We start from the raw sequence: 24,324 nt of genomic DNA on the forward strand, positions 1-24,324 counted from the left end.
CACAGTTTTTTAAATTTTATTTTTTATTTTTAGGAAGCCCTTTTGCAAACCATACAAGATATAATAGAGATCTCACCAAAGACGACATCCTAGAGATGGAGAGGAGAAAAAAAAAACTTAAGTCCCATAAAGAAGGCAGAAACATGTTTTTGGTTGATCAAGATGAGTTTGGGCCAAATATAAGGAGGCTGCTTCACTGGAGGGAATCACAAAGCCATCTGGGGCAGGAATGTTGATGGTGAAGTGACTTCCCTGCTAAAGCTCGCTTGCTGGGATCCGGATGCCTCTGCAGAGACAAAGGTGGTTCAGAGTTCATGGGGAAAAGAGGCAGGGTTTGTGGCTGAGAAGCGGTGCCAATGGGGAGAGTGGCAGTGTCCAGAGAAAGCCATCAATAGTCAGTGGATCCTTGTGATCCAATATTCAGTGGACAGAGGGTTAGAGGGGCTGTGTTTTTTCCTCCATCATTGAAACCAGGACTGAAGAAGGGCCGCAGAGGTCCTGTAAAGGCACATTCAGAGAAGGAGTAGATGAGGGAGCCATGGTCAGTGATGTTGTAGAAGGAGACCATGCCAGCCTCATAGTCCAGGAAAATCCCAACTTGGCATGGAGGCACCTGAAGGTGGAGGGGAGTCTGGGGGTAGGTGCCAGCCTCATATTTTTGTTTGTTCCACAACCAAATTGTCCAGAAGCCACTCTTGGAACTAAGCAAAAAGTGCCCCTTCCTGCGCACAGAGTCTCTGCAGACACCCAGGTCCCAGGCCTCCTTTCCTGTCACATCTACCTCCCAGTAATGTTTTCCAGAGTGAAAGTGCTGGGCACCCAGGACCATAGGATAACTATCAAATCTCTCTTCATTTCCAGGTATGCTCTGCTGGGTGTCTCCAAGCCTCACTTGTCTCCGATCTTCTGAAAGTATCAGCCACGGATTGGCTGTGTCTGGATCCAGAGTGATGTGGACTGCAGAGAGAGGACCACAGTCAGGCCTTGCATGGGGGGAGTTCACTAAGTCTGTGCCTGTGGTGGGGGGATTTTGTGTAAACTCCAGGGTAAGCATGAGGGGTGAACCTCCCTGTGTGAGGAAATGACCATCAGCCAGTTCTGGCCTTGGTCCTGACCTCTGAAGAAACCATCTTCCTTACCTCCATCTCTGTTCCCCCTGCTCTGACCTGCCATCTCTCCTCCAAGTTGCCATCCAGGCTCCCTGACCCTGGGATCTACTCTGCACCCCATTATCCCCCGCAAAACTAGAACTTGCCTCACCTGCACATGTCCTCAGCATCTTCTTCAGCCCTGGCACATGGCACACACTCCTGAGTTCTGGAGAGGTAATATCCAGGTCCTTCAGGTTCCAGGACTCACTCCTGGGGGAAAGAGAGTTTGAGACTCCTGTCTCCTACTCCTATCCCAAACCCTAACACTATAACCTCCATTGTGGAGGACTCCGATAATTTAATTCAACTCAAATTTACAAAGACCTCTGGTGTTCAAGTCTCCAGGAGTGGGTGTGAGAGGCAAACAATGCAGGATTTAGTTTCTACCCAGGAGTTCCTGGTTATAGGAGGCTCTGCAGCATGTGGACAGTCTGTCTCTCCTGTCTAAGCCTGAGGTCACCTGGCAAATGCATTCAATTTCATTTTATAGGCAAGCAATCTGAGACAGGCTGAATCACTTCTGCAAGGAACCTCAAGGAGTCTTGCCCACACTGTGGGTCTTACTCATGGCTCTTTTTGGGAGGTAACTGGTTAGATTCCACTGAGAAAAGGAGTCCCAGCAGGCCATGTCCCAGTAGTCTGAATTCCGGGAAGACCCAGAACTTCCCAGGATTTCCCTGTTTGGCAGGACTTTACTGTGTGAAGATGTTATGATCCAACTACTGTGGGCAATCACCAATTGAGATGTCCATTTATTAGCTTTCTGAGACCAGAAAATATTTTATAGAGAATGAAGTTTTTGAGAATAGGAAGCCAGATGGGGAAAACTTCAGTGCATGTACTTCTAATTCAATCACCTTTGTCATAGGCATATATGCTTTCTGCTGGCCCCTCTTCTAACAAAGAAAACTCCTCCTTACCTTTCCAGGACAATTATCACCTCCTGAGGAGAAAAGAGACAGAAAGTAAGTTCTGGATTGCTGGATCGCCACTGAGACATCAGCCCTGTGGGTGATGTGATCCATCTTTGGTCCCTGGGGCACTGTTCCTCTCCTTCCTCTGGTCCTAGGCCCCAGAGATGATTCTGACCAGCTCAAAGCAGAAAGGATGTGTGGCTGCTTGTGAGGTAACCAGAAGCCCAGCATGGATGTGACCTATGGCTAGGGAAGGGTTATCAGTTTCAGGACTCTGACTCAAAGACCAGTTTTTTTTTTTTTTCCCCAGGGGAGAAAGAAAGGAGGGCAGAGAGGGCACATAGCCCAGCTTGGCTTAAGCCCAGAAACAATCACAGGCAGAGAATGGCCGAGTTCAGGTGTCCAGAAACCACTCTATTCCACTTGTGGGCTAGCATTGTTTGGGAAGGAAAGGTTGGTTAGTTAAAGCTCCCTTGGGTACTTAATGTTGCCTCTTCCTGTATGTGAAACCAAATCACTGAGAATATTTTTGTCGTAGGGATTAGGCGCCATTACATGGGAGCTAGCAGGCTCCTAGACTCAGTCAAAAGTGTGTTGGAAAGCCTGGTTTACAGACAGGTGTAGTGGCTCACTCTTGTAATCCCAGCACTTTGGGAGGCTGAGGGGGGCAGATCACCTACGGTTGGGAGTTTGAGACCAGCCTGACCAACATGGAGAAATCCCATCTCTACTAGGGATGCAAAATTAGCCAGGTGTGGTGATGTGAGGCTGAGGCAGGAGAATCGCTTGAACCCGGGAGGCGGAGGTTGCAGTGAGCCAAGATCACACCATTGCACTCCAGCCTGGGCAACAAGAGTGAAACTCTGTCTCATAAATAAATAAATAAATAAATAAATAGAAAGCCTGGTTCAATGTTGGGCAGAAGAGAGCCTGTCAAGTCAACCCAATACAATTAGGTTTTCTGCACAAACCTGAAAGCAATGGCTCATGACCACTCTGAGTGACACTGAACAGGTGTGGGAAAAGAGCTGTAGAATGTTAGAACAGAAGGGACTTGTGAGACCATCTAGTCCATAGTTTCCTACAGTGAGGCAAACATATCATTGGTGGATGCAAGATGATTCTAAGTGCAACATAAATTGATTTTTAAAAAGGTCCTGTACTTATTTTCATCTTTACTTTGCGTCTTGAACGCGAACCTTTCATGGGTTTGAATTCTACTTCATTTAAGAACATTCCAGGGACCAGGTGTCCATTTATTCAAATGGCAGTTCCAGATAGCTCTGGTCTTTTTCAGTTATTCCCTGAATTGTAGAAGGAAACCCCTCCCTGTCTCACCTGCAGCAGTTCCAGTGCTGAGCTGTGGCACCTTCGATCTAGCTCTGAGATGAGCTCCTGTAGGGCCTGGCTCTGCTGGGCCAGCTTGGCCTCTTTCTCCCCCAGGATTCTCAGCTGCTCCCTCTCATCCTTCTCCAGCTCCTGCAGCTGCCTCTGTTCTTCTTCAACCAGGAAGTTTTTTTGCTGCACAAACTCTGCGTGAATCCTAGATTTCTGTGTTTCCACTGTTTTCTTTAGTGTCAAGGGAAAGGGAGAGGTGGTTTTTATGAAAATCTCCCAAGCTTTGGGAATGGAGGTATTGGTACCTATTCCTATCCCCAAGAGACTCCACTCTGTGCTGTCTGGGAAAACACACACACATGCACACGCACACGCGCGCACACACACACACACACAATTTTGCTTGGGAGGTAGGTGGTTGAGGTTTCTGGGACAGTGAGGGGAATGGACTTGGTGAGGGCACACTGTAGCTGGCCTACAACGACAGCTACACGAATATATGGCATTGGGGACTTTTTCCAACCTCTCTTCCAAGCCCAGTCACCACTCAAATGTGCCCCTGTGTCTTCCTGTCTCAGTGAGTTACTGAGAAAAAAATCACCTGTTCCCACCTCCAACAACCTCACAAAGCCAGGCTCACGCCACCACCTCTAAGTCCTGGGAAAGGGGGCTTGGGGACATTCTTTGCTTTTCCTCTCCTGTTAGTAACTGGAAGGTCACTCGATGACACATGAGGGTCTGTTTTGTCACCACAACCCAACTCACACCCTACCTCAATCCCAAATCTTCCTCTTCTGTGATCTACTGGGGATGGGCTCCTTCTTCTCCCCTCTCATCCCTGACATGCCCCACCTCTCCTAGGAAATCATCAGTGCAGAACAAACATTGATTCTTCATTATATTTTGGACCAGAGATCTGGTCATGGTCAAGTAACCACCTGGTCAGATGGTTTCCTTAAGTTTATTCCTCACAGCCCTTGTCATTTCCTGAAAGGCTTAGCTAGCAGTTGGGTTTCTACTAGGATATTTGTCTCACACATCCAGGTGCTGACGCCATCACACCTCTGAGACTAGACTCAGAGGAGCTCGAAACTTTAGGGTATAGCTAGATCCTCTCAGCACCTTCTTCCAGGATTCTTGATCTTCAGGCCTGATGGGGAGCTCCCCTTTGAACCTGCATCATTTTTATTCCCCTCTATTTGTAAACCTAGAGAGCAGCTGGCTTCTGGAGAGTGAGACGGACCAACTCTATCACTGCTCAGAGAGGCACAGCTACGGTTAAGGCTGTGAGTTGAGGACTCTGGACCCTGCCCAGCCTTCCAGCCTAAGATCTCCTTCAGGATGTCATTCTTACCTTCCAGTCTGCTCTCTTTATTGCAATTTCCACTTCCAACTTCTCAGCCAACTCCTGCTTTCTTCTCAGTTCCCCTAATGCCACCTGGAGCTTCTCCTGCAGAGAAAGACAGCTTATTCGTCCCCCATGCAAACCAAGTAATAGGGTGGGGTAATCCTTGCAGCATTTTCTCATGCATATCTCCTACGCCTGGGGAATGAGGTTGGGTTTAACTTATAATTCTCCTCCTACATTAGACATGGAGAGAGGTAAACCCCTCCTTTCTCTAACCCCTCCAATCCAGAGGTGGTCCTCTCCCATTCCCTGCTCTGAAAACGAAGCACTCACCAGGTGTCTCTTAGGCCTCACCTGGTACTCCTGTGCAGCCTCCTCAAGAGGGACCATGGCGTGGTCACGGTGTTTCCGAGACTGGGCACATACCCAGCAAAGGGCCTTCCCATCTTTCTCACAGAACAGGTGAAGTCTCTCTCCATGCACTGCACACCGTTCCCCCTGTGTGCCCTCTCTGGCCTCCTGGCTGATTTCTTTAAGGTTGTTCACCATGTTGGCTAGCTGTCGATTGGGCCGGAGATTCTTGAGCAGAAAGCGCTGCCGGCACACAGGACAGACGCTGCCCCCACCTTTCCCAACCTGAGAGATGCATTCCTGGCAGAAGCTGTGGCCACACTCGATGCTCACAGGCTCCACGAAGGGGTCCAGGCAGATAGGGCATGTGACCTCCTCCCACATCATTGTCAAGCGTGCTGCTGAAGCCATTGTCAAGTGTGCCGTTAAACAGCAGTGTGGAGACCTTTAGGGGGTTTGGCTGGGAGAGAAGAAGAAAGGGAAAAGAGAATATGAGAAAGTCTGTGTAAGAAAAACAAAAAGTCAACATAATCCCTATCAAAATACCAATGACATTCTTCACAAAAATAGGAAAAAACAATCCTAAAATTTATATGGAATCACAAAAGACTCAGAATAGCCAAAGCTATCCTGAGCAAAAAGAACAAAACTGGAGGAATCACATCATCTGACGTCAAATTATACTGTAGAGCTAAAGTAACCCAAACAGCATGGTACTGGCATAAAAACAGACACATAGACCAGTAGAATAAAGAACCCAGAAACAAATCTGTACATCCACAGTGAGCACATTTTCAACAAAGCTACCAAGAACATACAGTGAGGAAAGGACAGTCTCTTCAATAAATGCTGCTGGGAAAACTGGATATCCACATGCAGAAGAATGAAACTACACTCCTATGTCTCACCGTATACAGAAATCAAATCAAAATGGATTAAAGACTTAAATCTAAGGCCTCAAACTATGAAACTATTATAAGAAAACATTGGGAAAACTCTCTAGGACATTGGACTGGGCAAAGATTTCTTTCAAATATCCCACAAGCACAGGCAGCCAAAGCAAACTTGGACAAATGGGATCACATCATGTTGAAAAGGTGCTGCACAGCAAAAGAAACAATCCACAAAGTGAAGAGACAGCCCACAGAATTGGAGTAAATATTTGTAAACTATCCATCTGACAAGGGATGAATAACCAGAATATATAAGGAGCTCAAACAACTCTATAGGAAAAAAAATAATAATCTGACTCAAAAATGGACAAAAGATCTGAACAGACATTTCTCAAAAGAAGTCATACAAATGACAAACAGGCATATGAACAGTTGCTCAACATCATTGATTATCAGAAAAATGCAAATCAAAACTACAATGAGATATAATCTCATCTCAGTTAAAATGTCTTTTCTCCAAAAGACAGGCTATAACAAATGCTGGTGAGGGTGTGGAGAAAAGGGTACACTCATATGCTGTTGGTGGGAAGGTAAATTAGTACAATCACTACAGAGAACAGTTTGGAGGTTCTTCAAAATACTGAAGATAGAGCTACCATATGATCCATCAATCCCACTGCTAGCATATACCCCAAAGAAAGGAAATCAGTATATCAAAGAGATATCCACACTTCCATGTTTACTGCAGCACGTTTCACAATAGCCAAGATTTGGAAGCAATCTAAGAGTCCATCAACAGATATATGGATAAAGAAAATGTGGTATGTATACACAATGGAGTACTGTTCAGTCATAAAATATAATGAGATCCTGTCATTCACAACAACATGAATGGAACTGGAGGTCATTATGTTAGGTGAAATAAGCCAGGCACAGAAACACAAACATTGTATGGTCTCACTCATTTGTAGAAGCTAAAAATTAAAACAATTGAACTCATGGAGTTAGATAATAGAAAGATGGTTACCAGAGGCTGGGAAGAGTAATAGGGAGGGTCTGTGTGTGGGGGAGAAGATGGGATGGTTAATGGGTACAAAAGTGGAGTGAATTAGATCTAGTATTTGATAGTACAACAGGGTGACTATAGTCAATAATTTAATTGTACATTAAAAATAAGAGTATAATTGCATAGTTTGTATTACAGATGATCAATGCTTGAGGTGATAGATGCCCCACTTACCCTGATGTGATTATTACACATTGTATACCTGTATCACAATATTCCATATACCCATAAATATACCTACTATGTGCCCACAAAAATTAAAAATATACTAAAAAAAGAAAAACAAAATGATGCAAAGGAAAATAAAAAATAAGAATAAAAATAATGGGTCAGGCACGGTGGCTCACACCTGTAATCCCAGCACTTTGGGAGGCCGAGGTGGGTGGATCACCTTAGGTCAGGAGTTCAAGACCAGCCTGACCAATATGGTAAAACCCTGTCTCTACTAAAAATACAAAAATTAGCTGGGAGTGGTGGTGGGCACCTGTAATCCCAGCTACTTGGGAGGCTGAGGCAGGAGAATTGCTTGAACCTGGGAGGCAGAGGTTGCAGTGAGCCAAGATTGTGCCATTGCACTCCAGCCTGGGTGACACGGCGAGACTCCCTCTCAAAAACAAAACAAAACAAAACAAGGCATAAAATTAATGGCAAAACAATTAATGTCAAAAACAGTAATTACTTTTGCACCGATCAAACAGTTTGTTGAATAAGTTTATTCCTGTTCTGAATAACAAGAACTCCTCCATTGTTTGGTCCATTGATCCAGTGAGACAGAAGGAGAAACTGAGTCCCTAAAAGAGGGAATGAAAATTGGCAAGAACCTCATAAAGCTGTTGACAGTTCTACTCTCATCATGTCCATTCCTGCTTAAACCCTCAGTGCTCATCCATCTCCTGTCGGGTACCAACAGGCCTCCATGTTGCTGAGAAATTATAGCTACTTTTTACCATGTACCTTCCATGTGCCAGAGATACTTCATGCTTTGAATATATCTTCATTAATCCCTCCTATAACGGCGGAAGTCAGTTGCATATATGTATGTAGGTGTATATGTATGTATACACACAGAGTAACAGGAACCGTGGCCAGCACTCCCTGGGCTCTTTTCTCAGCTGCTCCAAACTTAGTTTAGTTCCTGACAACACTTATTCTAGGACAAAGAATAATTCTGAAGGCCTATACATTTCTGGTTGAACATCCTAAACAGCCTGCCCCTCTCACCTCTGGAGGACTTTTGGACCTGGGAGTCTCCAGAATTGCAGACCTCCCCGACACTGGGCTCCCTACCCTCCTGGCTAGGCTGTAGTCCTGGCTATCCCAGCCACACCCAGCCGTCATCCTAGGTCAGGTGCCAGCATGGGGGCAGCCGGGCCCCTTCCCCTTCTGGGTAACTCCACAGTCACGTCCACAACCCAGCCTCCTCCCAGGTAGGGGGCAGCCGGGCCCCTTCCCCTTCTGGGTAACTCGGCAGTCAGGTCCACACCCCAGCCTCCTCCCAAGCAGGGGGCCAGCACCGGAAGCGCAGCTGGTCTTGGGTTGAGGGATCCCTGGTGGGAGAAGGGGCAAATGGGACCGGCTCAAGGATGGAGACTGGAAGGGGCTCTGCAACCCTGGGGCAGGGGAGAGAGGTCCCCTAGGAGGGCAGGGGTCCCTTGATCTAGTGGGGTTCACTCACCTTTACAGGGGACTCAACGCTGGTAGCCAGCTCCCTATTTCACTTTCAGTTTCCGCTCAGAAGCAAGTCTGAGAGGAAAGGGGAGGGAGGAGGAGGAGCCGTGGGAGGAGTGAGGGAGGAGCAGTGGGAGGAGCAGAGCCTTGAAAGGGTGTGTGGAGAAATGCGGCTGAGAAGAGAAGTCAGAGTTGAGCTGGGGGAGGCTTCAGAGGCTCTGCATGCCCAGGAGGCTTCTCTGAGACTGGGAAGGAGTGGAAACTCAGTAGCCCGTGGTCCTGGTTGCGCGCTCCCTCCCATGTCTTCATTATCTGATTTGGTAAAATATCTACAAGACGGGGGAGTCCGGGCTGCTTTCTTTGACACTGGTCATCACTCCACACCTAGACGCTATGTCCATGTCTGGAAGATGCTTTTAAGGAAGTTTTGATGCAGAGAAGAGTGGCCGGTGCTCTTCCTCGCGTGCCACCATCTGCTTACTTCCAGAAGCTAATTATTTTCATGTGACTGATGTGACTAATATTTTTTAACGCCTGCAGGTGAGTGATTTATTTCGCATGACCCCAAGGTGAGTGTCCCACCAGTGAGTGGTGAGAAGGAAATTGACATTTGACAACCAACTGTGTTCTTGTCACTGAGCTAGGGACATTCTCAGGTTATATTATTTTTATTTTTAATCGTAAAAATATAGAACATAAAATTTACCAAAGTAATTTTTTTAATTTTCAATCTTGTGTGTCTATAGTAGGTGTATATATTTGTGGGGTACATGAAATATTTTGATACAGGTAGAGCATACAATCCGTAATAATCATATCAGGGTAAGTGGGGTATCTATCCATCACCTCAAGCACTTATCATTTGTGTTATATACAATCCAGTTATATGCTTTTAGTTATTTTAAAATGATAAATTATCATTGACTGTATTCACCTTGTTATGCTATAAAATACTAGATCTTATTCATTCTCTCTCATGTATTTTTGAACCCATTAATCATTCCCCACTACCCTTCCCAGCCTTTGGTAACCATCATCCTCTCTATCTTCATGAGTTGGATTGTTTTAATTTTTAACTCCCACAAATAAGTGAGAACATAACAATTTGTTTGTTTGCCTGTGTTTGGTTTATTTTACTTAACATAATAATCCCCAATTCCATCCATCTTGTAGCAAATGAAAGGTTCTCCTTCTTTTTATGGCTGAATAGTGCTCCATTGTGTATGTGTACCACACTTTCCTTATCCATTTATCTGTTGATGGACACTTACGTTGCTTCCAAATCTTGGCTATTGTGAATAGTGCTGCGATAAACATGGGAGTGCAGATATCTCTTTGATATACTGATTTCCTTTCTCTTGGATATATACCTAACAGTATTTCTTCTGGGTATATACCTAGCAGTATCCAGTAGGATTGCTAGATTACATGGTAGCTCTATTTTCAGGTTTTTTTTTTTTTTTGAGGAACCTTCAAATTGTTTGCCATAGTGTTTGTACTAATTTCCATTCCCATTGACAGTGTATGAGGGTTCCCTTTTCTACATATCCTTGCCAGCATTTGTTATTGCCTTTCTTTTGGTTAAAAGACATTTTAACTGAGGTGAGATAATATCTCGTAGTTTTGATTTGCATTTCTCTGATGATCAGTGGTGTTGAACACATTTTCATATATCCATTTGCCACTTGTATGTCTTCTTCTGAGGAATGTCTATTCAGATCGTTTGTCCATTTTTGAATCAGATTATTATATTTTTTTCCTATAGAGTTGTTTGAGTTCTTTGTATATTCTGGTTATTAATCCCTTGTCAGATGGATAGTTTGCAAATATTTACTCCAATTCTGTGGGTTATCTCTCTACTTCATTGTTTCCTTTGCTGTGCAGAAGCTTTTTAACTTGATGTGATCTCATTTGTCCAGTTTTGCTTTGGTTGCCTGTGCTTATGGAATATTTGAAAGAAATTTTTGCCCAGTCCAATGTCCTGGAGAGTTTCCCCAATATTTTCTTGTAGTAGTTTCATAGTTTGAGGCCTTAGATTTTTTTTTAAATTATACTTTAAGTTCTAGGGTACATGTGCACAACATGCAGGTTTGTTACATATGTATACACGTGCCATGTTGGTGTGCTGCACCCATTAACTCATTTACATTGGATATATCTCCTGATGCTATCCCTCCCCCCTCCCCCCACCCCAGGACAGGCCTCAGTGTGTGATGTTCCCCTTCCTGTGTCCATGTGTTCTCATTGTTCAATTCCCACCTATGAGTGAGAACATGCGGTGTTTGGTTTTCTTGTCCTTGCAATAGTTTTCTGAGAATGATGGTTTCCACTTTCATCCATGTCCCTACAAAGGACATGAGCTCATCCTTTTTTATGGCTGCATAGCATTCCATGGTGTATATGTGCCACATTTTCTTCATCCAGTCTATCATTGTTGGACATTTGGGTTGGTTCCAAGTCTTTGCTATTGTGAATAGTGCCACAATAAACATATGTGTGCATGTGTCTTTATATCAGTATGATTTATAATCTTTTGGATATATACCCAGTAATGGGATGGCTGGGTCAAATGGTATTTCTAGTTCTAGATCCTTGAGGAATCACCATACTGTCTTCCACAATGGATGAACTCGTTGACAGTCCCACCAACAGTGTAAAAGTGCTCCTGTTTCTCCATATCCTGTCTATCACCCATTGTTTCCTGACTTTTTAATGATCGCCATTCTAACTGCTGTGAGATAGTATCTCATTGTGGTTTTGATTTGCATTTCTCTGATGGCCAGTGATGATGAGCATTTTTCCATGTGTCTGTTGGCTGCATAAATATCTTCTTTTGAGAAGTGTCTGTTCATATCCTTTGCCCACTTTTTGATGGGGTTGTTTTTTTCTTGTAAATTTGTTTGAGATCTTTGTAGATTCTGGATATTAGCCCTTTGTCAGATGAGTAAATTGCAAAATTTTTCTCCTATTCTATAGGTTGCCCATTCACTCTGATGGTAGTTTCTTTTGCTGTGCAGAAGCTCTTTAATTAGATCCCATTTGTCAATTTTGTCTTTTGTTGCCATTGCTTTTGGTGTTTAAGACATGTAGTCCTTGCCCATGCCTATGTCCTGAATGGTATTGCCTAGGTTTTCTTCTAGGGTTTTTGTGGTTTTAGGTCAGAATAACCAATGCAGAGAAGTCCTTAAAGGACCTGATGGAATGGTGCTATCCAGCCCAGATACTATGCTTTTCCCATGGTCTATGCAACCCACGGACCAGGAGATTCCCTTGGATGCCTACACCACCAGGACCCTGGGTTTGAAGCACAAAACTGGGTGGCTGTTTGGGCAGACACTGAGCTAGCGGCAGGATTTTTCATGCCCCAGTGGCGTCTGGAACACCAGCAAGACAGAACTGTTCACTCCCTTGGAAAGGGGGCTGAAGCCAGGGAGCCAAGTGGTCTAGCTCAGTGGATCCCACCCCCATGGAGCCCAGCAAGCTAAGATCCACGGGTTTGAAATTCTTGCTGCCAGTGCAGCAATCTGAAATTGACCTGAGATGCTTGAGCTTGGTGGAGTGAGGGGCATCCACCATTACTGAGGCTTGAGTAGGCGGTTTTCCCCTCACAGTGTAAACAAAACTGCTGGGAAGTTCGAATTGGGTGGAGCCCACCAAAGCTTCGCAAACCTGCTGTAGCCAGACTGCCTCTCTAGATTCCTCCTCTCTGGGCATGACATCTTGAAAGAAAGGCAGCAGCCCCAGTCAGGGGCTTATAGCTAAAACTCCCATCTCCCTGGGACAGAGCATCTGGGGGAAGGGGTGGCGGTGAGCACAGCTTCAACAGCCTTAAACATTCTTGCTTGCCAGCTCTGAAGAGAGCAGTGGATCTCCCAGGACAGTGCTTGAGCTCTGATAAGGCACAGACTGCCTCCTCAAGTGGGTCCCTGACCCCTGTGCCTCCAGACTGGGAGACACTTCCCAGGAGGGGTCAACAGACACCTCATACAGGAGAGCTCTGGTTGGCATCTGGCGGGTGCCCCTCTGGGACAAAGCTTCCAGAGGAAGGAACAGGCAGCAATCTTTGCTGTTCTGCAGCCTCTGCTGGTGATACCCAGGCAAACAGGGTCTGGAGTGGACCTCCAGCAGACCTGTAGCAGAGGGACCTGTTAGAAGGAAAACTAACAAACAGAAAGCAATAGCGTCAACCTCAACAAAAAGAATGTCCACACAAAAACCCCATCCAGAGGTCACCAATATCAAAGACCAAAGGTAGATAAATCCATGAAGATGAGGAAAAACCAGTGCAAAAAGGCTGAAAATTCCAAAAAACAGCACACCTCTTCTCCTGCAAAGAATCACAACTCCTTGCCAGCAAGGGAACAAAACTGGATGGAAAATGAGTTTGATGAATTGACAGAAGTAGGCTTCAGAAGGTGGGTAATAAGAAACTCCTCTGTGCTAAAGGAGCATGTTCTAACCCAATGCAAGGAAGCTAAGAAACTTGAAAAAAGGTTAGAGGAATTGCTAACTAGAATCATCAGTTTAGAGAAGAAGATAAATGACCTGATGGAGTTGAAAAACATAGCATGAGAACTTCATGAAGCATACACAAGAATCAATAGCCGAATTGATCAAGAGGAAGAAAGGATATCAGAGATTGAAGATCAACTTAATGAAATAAAGCATCAAGACAAGATTAGAGAAAAAAGAATGAAAAGGAACAAGCAAAACCTCCAAGAAATATGGACTATGTGAAAAGACCAAACCTCCATTTGATTGGTGTACCTGAAAGTGACAGGGAGAATGGAACCAAGTTGGAAAACAGTCTTCATGATACTGTCCAGGAGAACTTCCCCAACCTAGCAAGACAGGCCAACATTCAAATTTGGGAAATACAGAGAACACCACAAAGATACTCATCAAGAAGAGCAATCTTAAGACACAATAGTCAGATTCACCAAGGTTGAAATGAAGGAAAAAATGTTAAGGGCAGCCAGAGAGAAGTGTCTGTCCACACAGGGAAGCCCAACAGACTAACAGCGGATCTCTCTGCAGAAACCCTACAAGCCAGAAGAGAGTGGGTGCCAATATCAACATTCTTAAAGAAAAGAATTTTCAGCCCAGAATTTCATATCCAGCCAAACTAAGCTTCAGAAGCAAAGAAGAAATACAAACCTTTATAGACAAGCAAATGCTGAGAGATTTTTGTCACCACCAGGCCTGCCTTACAAGAGCTCCTGAAGGAAGCTCTAAATATGAAAAGGAAAAGCTGGTACCAGCCACTGCAAAAATATACCAAATTGTAAAGACCATTGACACTATGAAGAAACTGCCTCAACTAACAGGCAAAATACCCAGCTAGCATCATAATGACGGGATCAAATTCACACAGATCAATATTAACCTTCAATGTAAACAGGCTAAATGCCCCAATTAAAAGACACAGACTGACAAATTGGATAAAGAGTCAAGAACCATTGGTGTGCTGTATTCAGGAGACCCATCTCATGTGCGACGACACACATAGGCTCAAAATAAAGGGATGGAGGAATATTTACCAAGGAAATAGAAAGCAAAAAAAAAAAAAGCAGAGGGTGCAATCCTAGTCTCTGACAAAACAGACTTTAAACCAACAAAGAACAAAAAAGAAAAAGAAGGGCATTACATAATGGTAAAGGCATCAATGCAACAAAAAGAGCTATCATTAATATATATGCACCCAATACAGGAGCACCCAGATTCATAAAGCAAGTTCTTAGAGACTTACAAAAAGACTTAGACTCCCACACAATGATAGTGGGAGACTTTAACACCCCACTGTCAATATTAGACAGATCAAGGAGACAGGAAATCAACAAGGATATTCAGGACTTGTACTCAGCTCTGGACCAAGCAGACCTAATAGACATCTACAGAACTCTCCACCCCAAATCAGAGAATATACATTCTTCCCTGCACCACATTGATTGTACTATTCTAAAATTTACCACATAATTGGAAGTAAAACACTCCTCAGGAAATGCAAAAGCATGGAAATCATAACAGTCTCTCAGACCACAGTGCAGTCAAATTAGTACTCAGGATTAAGAAACTCACTCAAAACCACCCAACTACATGGACACTGAACAAACTGCTCCTGAATGAATACTGGGTAAATAATGAAATTAAGTCAGAAATAAATAAGTTCTTTGAAACCAATGTGAACAAAGACACAAAGTACCAGAATCTCTGGGACACAGCTAAAGCAGTGTTTGAGGCAAATTTATAGCACTAAAATGCCCACAGGAGAAAGCAGAAAAGATCTAAAATTGACACCTTAACATCACATTGAAAATAACTAGAGAAGCAAGAGCAAACAAATTCAAAAGCTAGCAGAGGCAAGAAATAACTAAGATCAGAGAAGAACTGAAGGAGATAGAGACATGAAAAACCCTTCAAAAAAAATCAGTGAGTCCAGGAGCTGGTTTTCTTGAAAAGATTAACAAAATAGATAAACTGCTAGCCAGACTAATAAAGAAGAAAAGAGAGAAGAATCAAACAGATGCAATAAAAAATGATTAAGGGGCTATCACCACTGATCCCACAGAAATACAAAGTACTATCAGAGAATATTGTAAACACCGCTATGCAAATAAACTAAAAAATCTACAAGAAATGGATAAATTCCTGGACACATACACCATCCCAAGACTAAACCAGGAAGAAGTCGAATCCCTGAATAGACCAATAACAAGTTCTGAAATTGAGGCAGTAATTAGTAGCCTACCAACCAAAAAAAGCCCAGGACCAGATGGAGTCACAGCTGAATTACACCAGAGGTACAAAGAGGAGCTGGTATCATTCTTCTGAAACTATCCCAAACATTAGAAAAAGGGGAACTCCTCCCTAACTCATTTTGTGAGGCCAGCATCATCCTGATACCAAAACCTGGCAGAGAAACAACAAAAAAAAAATTTCAGGCCAATACCCTGATGAACATCAATGAGAAAATCCTTAGTAAAATACTTATAAACCAAATCCAGCAGCACATCAAAAAGCTTATCCACCATGATCAAGTTGGCTGCATCCCTGGGATGCAAGGTTGGTTCAACATACACAAATCAGTAAACATAACCCATCACACATTAATATTCTCTGATGGTAGTTTGTATTTCTGTGGGATCAGCGCTGATATCCCCTTTATTATTTTTTATTGTATCTATTTAATTCTTCTCTCATTTTTTAAATTATACTTTAATTTTAGGTTACATATGCACAACATGCAGGTTAGTTACATATGTATACATGTGCCATGTTTGTGTGCTGCACCCAGTAACTCGTCATTTAACATTAGGTATATCTCCAAATGCTATCCCTCCCCCCTCCCCCCCACCCCACAACAGGCCTCAGTGTGTGATGTTCCCCTTCCTGTGTCCAAACGTTCTTATTGTTCAATTCCCACCTATGAGTGAGAATATGCGGTGTTTGGTTTTTTGTCCTTGCGATAGTTTGCTGAGAATGATGATTGCCAGCTTCATCCATGTCCCTACAAAGCACATGAACTCATCCTTTTTTATGGCTGCATAGTATTCCATGGTGTATATGTGCCACATTTTCTTAATCCAGTCTATCATTGTTGGACATTTGGGTTGGTTCCAAGTCTTTGCTATTGTGAATAGTGCCACAATAAACGTACGTGTGCATGTGTCTTTATAGCAGCATGATTTATAATCCTTTGGGTATATACCCAGTAATGGGATGGCTGGGTCAAATGGTATTTCTAGTTCTACATCCCTGAGGAATTGCCACACTGACTTCCACAATGGTTGAACTAGTTTACAGTCCCACCAACAGTGTAAAAGTGTTCCTATTCCTCCACATCCTCTCCAGCACCTGTTGTTTCCTGACTTTTTAATGATTGCCATTCTAACTGGTGTGAGATGGTATCTCATTGTGGTTTTGATTTGCATTTCTCTGATGGCCAGTGATGATGAGCATTTTTCCATGTGTCTTTTGGCTGTATAAAGGTCTTCTTTTGAGAAGTGTCTGTTCATATCCTTCGCCCACTTTTTGATGGGTTTTTTTCTTGTAAAGTTGCTGGAGTTCATTGTAGATTGTGGATATTAGCCCTTTGTCAGATGAGTAGATTGCAAACATTTTCTCCCATTCTGTAGGTTGCCTGTTCACTCTGATGGTAGTTTCTTTTGCTGTGCAGACTGTCTTTAGTTTAATTAGATCCCATTTGTCAATTTTTGCTTTCGTTGCCATTGCTTTTGGTGTTTTAGACATGAAGTCCTTGCCCCTGCCTATGTCCTGAATGGTATTGCCTAGGTTTTCTTCTAGGGTTTTTATGGTTTTGGGTCTAACATTTAAGTCTTTAATCCATCTTGAATTAATTTTTGTATAAGGTGTAAGGAAGGGATCCAGCTTCAGCTTTCTACATATGGCTAGCCAGTTTTCCCAACACCATTTATTAAATAGGGAATCCTTTCCCCATTGCTTGTTTTTATCAGTTTTGTCAAAGATCAGATAGTTGTAGATATGTGGCGTTATTTCTGAGGGCTCTGTTCTGTTCCATTGGTCTATATCTGTGTTTTGGTACCAGTACCATGCTGTTTTGGTTACTGTTGCCTTGTAGTATAGTTTGAAGTCAGGTACCATGATGCCTCCAGCTTTGTTCTTTTGGCTTAGGATTGCCTTGCTGATGGGGGCTCTTTTTTGGTTCCATATGAACTTTAAAGTAGTTTTTTCCAATTCTGTGAAGAAAGTCATTGGTAACTTGATGGGGATGGCATTGAATGTATAAATTACCTTGGGCAGTATGGCCATTTTCACGATATTGATTCTTCCTACCCATGAGCATGGAATGTTCTTCCATTTGTTTGTATCCTCTTTTATTTCCTTGAGCAGTGGTTTGTAGTTCTCCTTGAAGAGGTCCTTCACATCCCTTGTAAGTTGGATTCCTAGGTATTTTATTCTCTTTGAAGCAATTGTGAATGGGAATTCACTCATGATTTGGCTGTTTGTCTGTTATTGGTGTATAAGAATGCTTGTGATTTTTGCACATTGATTTTGTATCCTGAGACTTTGCTGAAGTTGCTTATCAGCTTAAGGAGATTTTGGGCTGAGATGATGGGGTTTTCTAGATATACAATCATGTCATCTGCAAACAGGGACAATTTGACTTCCTCTTTTCCTGCTTGAATACTCTTTCCTTCTTCTGCCTGATTGCCCTGGCCAGAACTTCCAACACTATGTTGAATAGGAGTGGTGAGAGAGGGCATCCCTGTCTTGTGCCAGTTTTCAAAGGGAATGATTCCAGTTTTTGCCCATTCAGTATGATATTGGCTGTGGGTTTGTCATAGATAGCTCTTATTATTTTGAGATACGTCCCATCAATACCTAATTGATTGAGAGTTTTTAGCATGAAGAGTTGTTGAATTTTGTCAAAGGCCTTTTCTGCATCTATTGAGATAATCATGTGGTTTTTGTCTTTGGTTCTGTTTATATGCTGGATTGCATTTATTGATTTGTGTATGTTGAACCAGCCTTGCATCCCAGGGATGAAGCCCACTTGATCATGGTGGATAAGCTTTTTGATGTGCTGCTGGATTCGGTTTGCCAGTGTTTTATTGAGGATTTGTGCATCGATGTTCATCAGGGATATTGGTCTAAAATTCTCTTTTTTTTTGTTGTGTCTCTGCCAGGCTTTGGTAGCACGATGATGCTGGCCTCATCAAATGAGTTAGGGAGGATTCTCTCTTTTTCTATTGATTGGAATAGTTTCAGAAGGAATGGTACCAGCTCCTCCTTGTACCTCTGGTAGAATTTGGCTGTGAATCCATCTGGTCTTGGACTTTTTTTGGTTGGTAAGCTATTAATTATTGCCTTAATTTCAGAGCCTGTTATTGGTATATTCAGAGATTGAACGTCTTCCTGGTTTAGTCTTGGGAGGGTGTATGTGTCAAGGAATTATCCATTTCTTCTAGGTTTTCTAGTTTATTTGCATAGAGGTGTTTATGGTTTTCTCTAATGGTAGTTTGTATTTCTGTGGGATCGGTGTTGATATCCCCTTTATCATTTTTTATTGCTGCTATTTGATTCTTCTCTCTTTTTTTCTTTATTAGTCTTGCTAGCAGTCTATCAATTGTGTTGATCTTTTCAAAAAACCAGCTCCTGGATTCATTGATTTTTTGAAGGGTTTTTTTGTGTCTCTATTTGCTTCAGTTCTGCTCTGATCTTAGTTATTTCTTGCCTTCTGCTAGCTTTTGAATGTGTTTGCTCTTGCTTCTCTAGTTCTTTTAATTGTGATGTTAGGGTGTCAATTTTAGATCTTTCCTGCTTTCTCTTGTGGGCATTTAGTGCTATAAATTTCCGTCTACACACTGCTTTGAATGTGTCCCAGAGATTCTGGTATGTTGTGTCTTTGTTCTCACTGGTTTCAAAGAACATCTTTATTTCTGCCTTCATTTCGTTATGTACAGTAGTCATTGTGGAGCAGGTTGTTCAGTTTCCACGTAGTTGAGCAGTTTTGAGTGAGTTTCTTAGCCCTGAATTCTAGTTTGATTGCACTGTGGTCTGAGAGACAGTTTGTTATAATTTCTGTTCTTTTACATTTGCTGAGGAGTGCTTTACTTCCAACTATGTGGTCAATTTTGGAATAAGTGCAGTGTGGTGCTGAGAAGAATATATATTCTGTTGATTTGGGGTGGAGAGTTCTGTAGATGTCTATTAGGTCCACTTGGTGCAGAGCTGAGTTCAATTCCTGAACATCCTTGTTAACTTTCTGTCTCGTTGATCTGTCTAATGTTGACAGTGGGGTGTTAAAGTCTGCCATTATTATTGTGTGGGAGTCTAAGTCTCTTTGTAGGTCTCTAAGGACTTGCTTTATGAATCTGGGTCCTCCTGTATTGGGTGCATATATATTTAGGATAGTTAACTCTTCTTGTTGAATTGATCCCTTTACCATTATCTTCTTTGTCTCTTTTGATTTTTGTTGGGTTAAAGTCTGTTTTATCAGACTTAGATTGCAACTCCTGCCTTTTTTTGTTTTCCGTTTGCTTGGTAGATCTTCCTCCATCCCTTTATTTTGAGCCTATGTGTGTCTCTGCACATGAGATGGGTTTCTTGAATAGAGCACACTGATAGGTCTTCACTGTTTATCCAATTTTCCAGTCTGTGTCTTTTAATTGAAGCACTTAGCCCATTTACATTTAAGGTTAATATTGTCATGTGTGAATTTGATCCTGTCATTATGATGTTAGCTGGTTATTTTGCTCATTAGTTGATGCAGTTTCTTTCTAGCCTTGATGGTCTTTACAATTTGGCATGTTTTTGCAGTGGCTGGTACTGGTTGTTCCTTTCCATGTTTAGTGCTTCCTTCAGGAGCTCTTTTAGAGCAGTCCGGTGGTGACAAAAATCTCTCAGCATTTGCTTGTCTGTAAAGTATTTTATTTCTCCTTCACTTATGAAGCTTAGTTTGGCTGGATATGAAATTCTGGGTTGAAAATTCTTTTCTTTAAGAATGTTGAATATTGGCCCCCACTCTCTTCTGGCTTGTAGAGTTTCTGCTGAGAGATCAGCTGTTAGTCTGATGGGCTTCCCTTTGTGGGTAACCTGGCTTTTCTCTCTGGCTGTCCTTAACATTTTTTCCTTCATTTCAACTTTGGTGAATCTGACAATTATGTGTCTTGGAGTTGCTGTTCTCGAGGAGTATCTTTATGGCATTCTCTGTATTTCCTGAATTTGAATGTTGGGCTGCCTTGCTAGATTGGGGAAGTTCTCCTAGATAATATCCTGCAGAGTGTTTTCCAACTTGGTTCCATTCTCCCTGTCACTTTCAGGTACACCAGTCAGACGTACATTTGGTCTTTTCACGTAGTCCCATATTTCTTGGAGGCTTTGTTTATTTCTTTTTATTCTTTTTTCTCTAAACTTCTCGCTTCATATCATTCATTTGATCTTCCATCACTGATACCCTTTCTTCCAGTTGATCGAATCAGCTACTGAGGCTTGTGCATTCGTCATGTAGTTCTCATGCCTTGGTTTTCAGCTCCTTCAGGTCCTTTAAGGGCTTATCTGCATTGTTTATTCTAATTAGCCATTCGTCTAATTTTTTTAAGGTTTTTAACTTCTTTGCCATGGGTTTGAACTTCCTCCTTTAGCTTGGAGTAGTTTGATAGTCTGAAGGCTTCTTGTCTCAACTCATGAAAGTCATTCTCCATCCAGCTTTGTTCCATTGCTGATGAGGAGCTGTGTTCCTTTGGAGGAGGAGAGGCACTCTGATTTTTAGAGTTTCCAGTTTTTCTGCTCTGTTTTTCCCCATCTTTGTGGTTTTATCTACCTTTGGTCTTTGATGATGGTGATGTACAGATGGGATTTTGGTGTGGATGTCCTTTCTGTTTGTTAGTTTTCCTTCTAGCAGTCAGGACCCTCAGCTGCAGGTCTGTTGGAGTTTGCTGGAGGTCCACTACAGACCGTGTTTGCCTGGGTATCACCAGCGGTGGCTGCAGAACAGCAGATATTGGTGAACAGCAAATGTTGCTGCCTGATCGTTCCTCTGGAAGTTTTGTCTCAGAGGAGTACCCAGCCATGTGAGGTGTCAGTCCGCCCCTACTGGGGGGTGCCTCCCAGTTAGGCTACTTGGGGGTCAGGGACCCAACTTGAGGAGGCAGTCTGTCCATTCTCAGATCTCCAGCTGCATGCTGGGAGAACCACTACTCTCTTCAAAGCTGTCAGACAGGGACATTTAAGTCTGCAGAGGATTCTACTGCCTTGTGTTTGGCAATGTCCTGCCCCCAGAGGTGGAGTCTACAAAGGCAGGCAGGCCTCCTTGAGCTGCAGTGGGCTCCACCCAGATTGAGCTTCCTGGCGGCTTTGTTTACCTACTCAAGCCTCGGCAATGGCGGGCGCCCCTCCCCCAGCCTCACTGCCACCTTGCAGTTTGATCTCAGACTGCTGTGCTAGCAATGAGTGAGGCTCCGTGGGCATAGGACCCTCCAAGCCAGGCACGGGATATAATCTCCTGGTATGCCATTTGCTAAGACCATTGGAAAAGCACAGTATTAGAGTGGGAGTGACCCGATTTTCCAGGTGCCGTCTGTCACCCCTTTCTTCAACTAGGAAAGGGAATTCCCTGACCCCTTGGGCTTCCTGGGTAAGGCTATGCCTTGCCCTGGTTCAGCTCATGCTGGGTGCACTGTACCCACTGTCCTGCACCCACTTTCCGACACTCCCTGGTGACATGAACCTGGTACCTCAGTTGAAAATGCAGAAATCACCCGTCTTCTGCGTCACTCATGCTGGGAGCTGTAGACTGGAGCTGTTCCTATTTGGCCATCTTGGCTCCACCCCCCTCTCATTTCTTTATTACTCTGGCTAGCAGTCTAACTATTTTGTTATTTTTAAAAAACAGATCCTGTATGCATTGATTTTTTGAAGGGTTTTTTGCGTCTGTATCTCTTTCAGAACCAACGACAAAACCACATGATTATCTCAATAGATGCAGAAAAGGCCTATGATAAAATTTAACACCCTTTATGCTAAAAACTCTTAATAAGTTAGGTATTGATGGAACGTATCTCAAAATAATGAAAGCTATTTATGACAAACCCACAGCCAATATAATACTGAATGGGCAAAAGCTGGAAACATACCCTTTGAAAACTGGTACAAGACAAGGATGCCCTCACCACTCTTATTCAACATAGTATTGGAAGTTCTGGCCAGGGCAATCAGACAAGAGAAAGAAATAAAGGGTATTCAATTAGGAAAAGAGGAAGTCAAATTGTCTCTGTTTGCAGATGACATGATTGGATATTTAGAAAACCCCATCGTCTCTGCCCAAAATCTCCTTAAGCTGATAAGCAACTTCAGCAAAGTCTCAGGATATAAAAGCAATGTGCAAAAATCACAAGCATTCCTATACACCAAGAACAGACAAACAGAGAGCCAAATCATGAGTGAACTCCCATTTACAATTGCTACAAAGAGGATAAAATACCTAGGAATCCAACTTACAAGGGATGTGAAGGACCTCTTCAAGGAGAACTACAAACCACTGCTCAAGAAAATAAGAGAGGACACAAACAAATGGACAAATATTCCATGCTCATGGGTAGGAAGAATCAGTATTGTGAAAATGGCCATACTGCCCGAAGTAATTTACAGATTCAGTGCTATTCCCATCAAGCTACCCTTGACTTTCTTCATAGAATTAGAAATAACTAAAGTTCATATGCAACCAAAATGACCCTGTATAACCAAGACAATCTTAAGCAAAAAGAACAAAGCTGGAGGCCTCATGGTACCTGACTTCAAACTGTACTACAAGGCTACCGTAACCAAAACAGCATGGTACTGGTACCAAAACAGAGATATAGACCAATGGAACAGAACAGAGCCCTCAGAAATAATCCCACACATCTACAACCATCTGCTCTTTGACAAACCTGACAAAAACAAGCAATGGGGAAGGGGAAAGGATTCCCTATTTAATAAATGGTGTTGGGAAAACTGGCTAGCCATATGTAGAAAACTGAAACTGGATCCCTTCCTTACACCTTTTACAAAAATTAACTCAAGATAAAGGAAAGACTTAAAGGTAAGACCTAAAAACATTAAAAACCCTAAAAGAAAACCTAGGCAATACCACTCAGGACATAGGTATGGGCAAAGACTTCATGAATAAAACACCAAAGCAATGGCAACAAAAGCCAAAATTGACAAATGTGATTTAATTAAACTAAAGAGCTTCTGCACAGCAAAGGAAACTATCAATCATCAGAGTGAACAGGCAACCTACAGAATGGGAGAAAATTTTTTTAATCTATCCATCTGACAAAGGGCTAATATCCAGAATATGCAAGGAACTTAAATTTGTAAGAAAAAACAACCCCATTAAAAAGTTGGCAAAGGATATGAACAGACAGAAGGATATAAATGTCTCAAAAGAAGACATTTATGTGGCCAACAAACATATGAAAAAAAGCTCATCATCACTGGTCATTAGAGGAATGCAAATCAAAACCCCAGTGAGATACCATCTCACTTAGAATGCTGATCATTAAAAAGTCAGGAAACAACAGATGCTGGAGAGGATGTGGAGAAACAGGAACGCTTTTACACTGTTGGTGGGAGTGTAAATTAGTGGAAGACAGTGTGGTGATTCCTCAAGGATCTAGAACCAGAAATACCATTTGACCCAGCAATCCCATTACTGGGTATATACTCAAAGGATTATAAATCATTCTACTATAAAGACACATGCACACATATGTTTATTGTGGCACTATTCACAATAGCAAAGACTTGGAACCAACCCAAATGCCCATCAGTAATAGACTGGAGAAAGAAAATGTGGCACATATACACCGAGGAATACTATGCAGCCATAAAAAAGGATGAGTTCATGTTCTTTGCAGGGACATGGATGAAGCTGGAAACCATCATTCTCGGCAAACTAACACAGGAACAGAAAACCAAACACCACATGTTCTCACTCATCAGTGGGAGTTGAACAAGGAGAACACATGGCAACAGGGAGGGAAACATCAATACAGGGGCCTGTCTGGGGGTGAGGGGCTAGGGGAGGGATAGCATTAGGAGAAAAACCTAATGTAGATGATGGGTTGAT

General features: G+C 42.8%; 1 protein-coding gene across 1 annotated transcript, besides 3 other annotated features; it reads right to left on the bottom strand.

The window, feature by feature from the left end:
- On the bottom strand, positions 1-8,806 carry TRIM21 (tripartite motif containing 21). Its single transcript, NM_003141.4, has 7 exons — positions 8,737-8,806; positions 5,106-5,562; positions 4,758-4,853; positions 3,404-3,634; positions 2,072-2,094; positions 1,261-1,361; positions 1-957 (listed from the first exon to the last, which is right to left on the bottom strand). The coding sequence occupies exons 2-7, from the start codon at positions 5,511-5,513 to the stop codon at positions 389-391; spliced, it is 1,428 nt and encodes a 475-aa protein (NP_003132.2). The 5' UTR covers positions 5,514-5,562; positions 8,737-8,806; the 3' UTR covers positions 1-388.
- Positions 769-1,968: an enhancer, noted in NCBI's record as "BRD4-independent group 4 enhancer chr11:4406895-4408094 (GRCh37/hg19 assembly coordinates)". NCBI's record gives its function as "activates an origin of replication core promoter dependent on BRD2, P300/CBP, MED14 and CDK7 cofactors, and independent of BRD4, by STARR-seq in HCT116 cells {active_cell/tissue: HCT116}" and the evidence as "EXISTENCE:reporter gene assay evidence [ECO:0000049][PMID:35650434]".
- Positions 8,697-8,906: an enhancer, noted in NCBI's record as "active region_4322". NCBI's record gives its function as "activates an Ori minimal core promoter by ATAC-STARR-seq in GM12878 lymphoblastoid cells {active_cell/tissue: GM12878}" and the evidence as "EXISTENCE:reporter gene assay evidence [ECO:0000049][PMID:35858748]".
- Positions 8,927-8,986: an enhancer, noted in NCBI's record as "active region_4323". NCBI's record gives its function as "activates an Ori minimal core promoter by ATAC-STARR-seq in GM12878 lymphoblastoid cells {active_cell/tissue: GM12878}" and the evidence as "EXISTENCE:reporter gene assay evidence [ECO:0000049][PMID:35858748]".

This window comes from Homo sapiens, chromosome 11 (genome assembly GCF_000001405.40).
Source record: "Homo sapiens chromosome 11, GRCh38.p14 Primary Assembly".
Classification (NCBI taxonomy): Eukaryota; Metazoa; Chordata; class Mammalia; order Primates; family Hominidae; genus Homo; species Homo sapiens.

Bases quoted from the DNA above. Each gene is read 5' to 3' on its own strand.
- TRIM21 (NM_003141.4), bottom strand. From the start codon at position 5,513: ATGGCTTCAGCAGCACGCTTGACAATGATGTGGGAGGAGGTCACATGC. The intron at 3,635-4,757 runs GTAAGAATGACA...TTGACACTAAAG, and splicing joins TAAAGAGAGCAGACTGGAAG to AAAACAGTGGAAACACAGAA. The intron at 2,095-3,403 runs GTGAGACAGGGA...TTTTCTCCTCAG, and splicing joins CAGCACTGGAACTGCTGCAG to GAGGTGATAATTGTCCTGGA.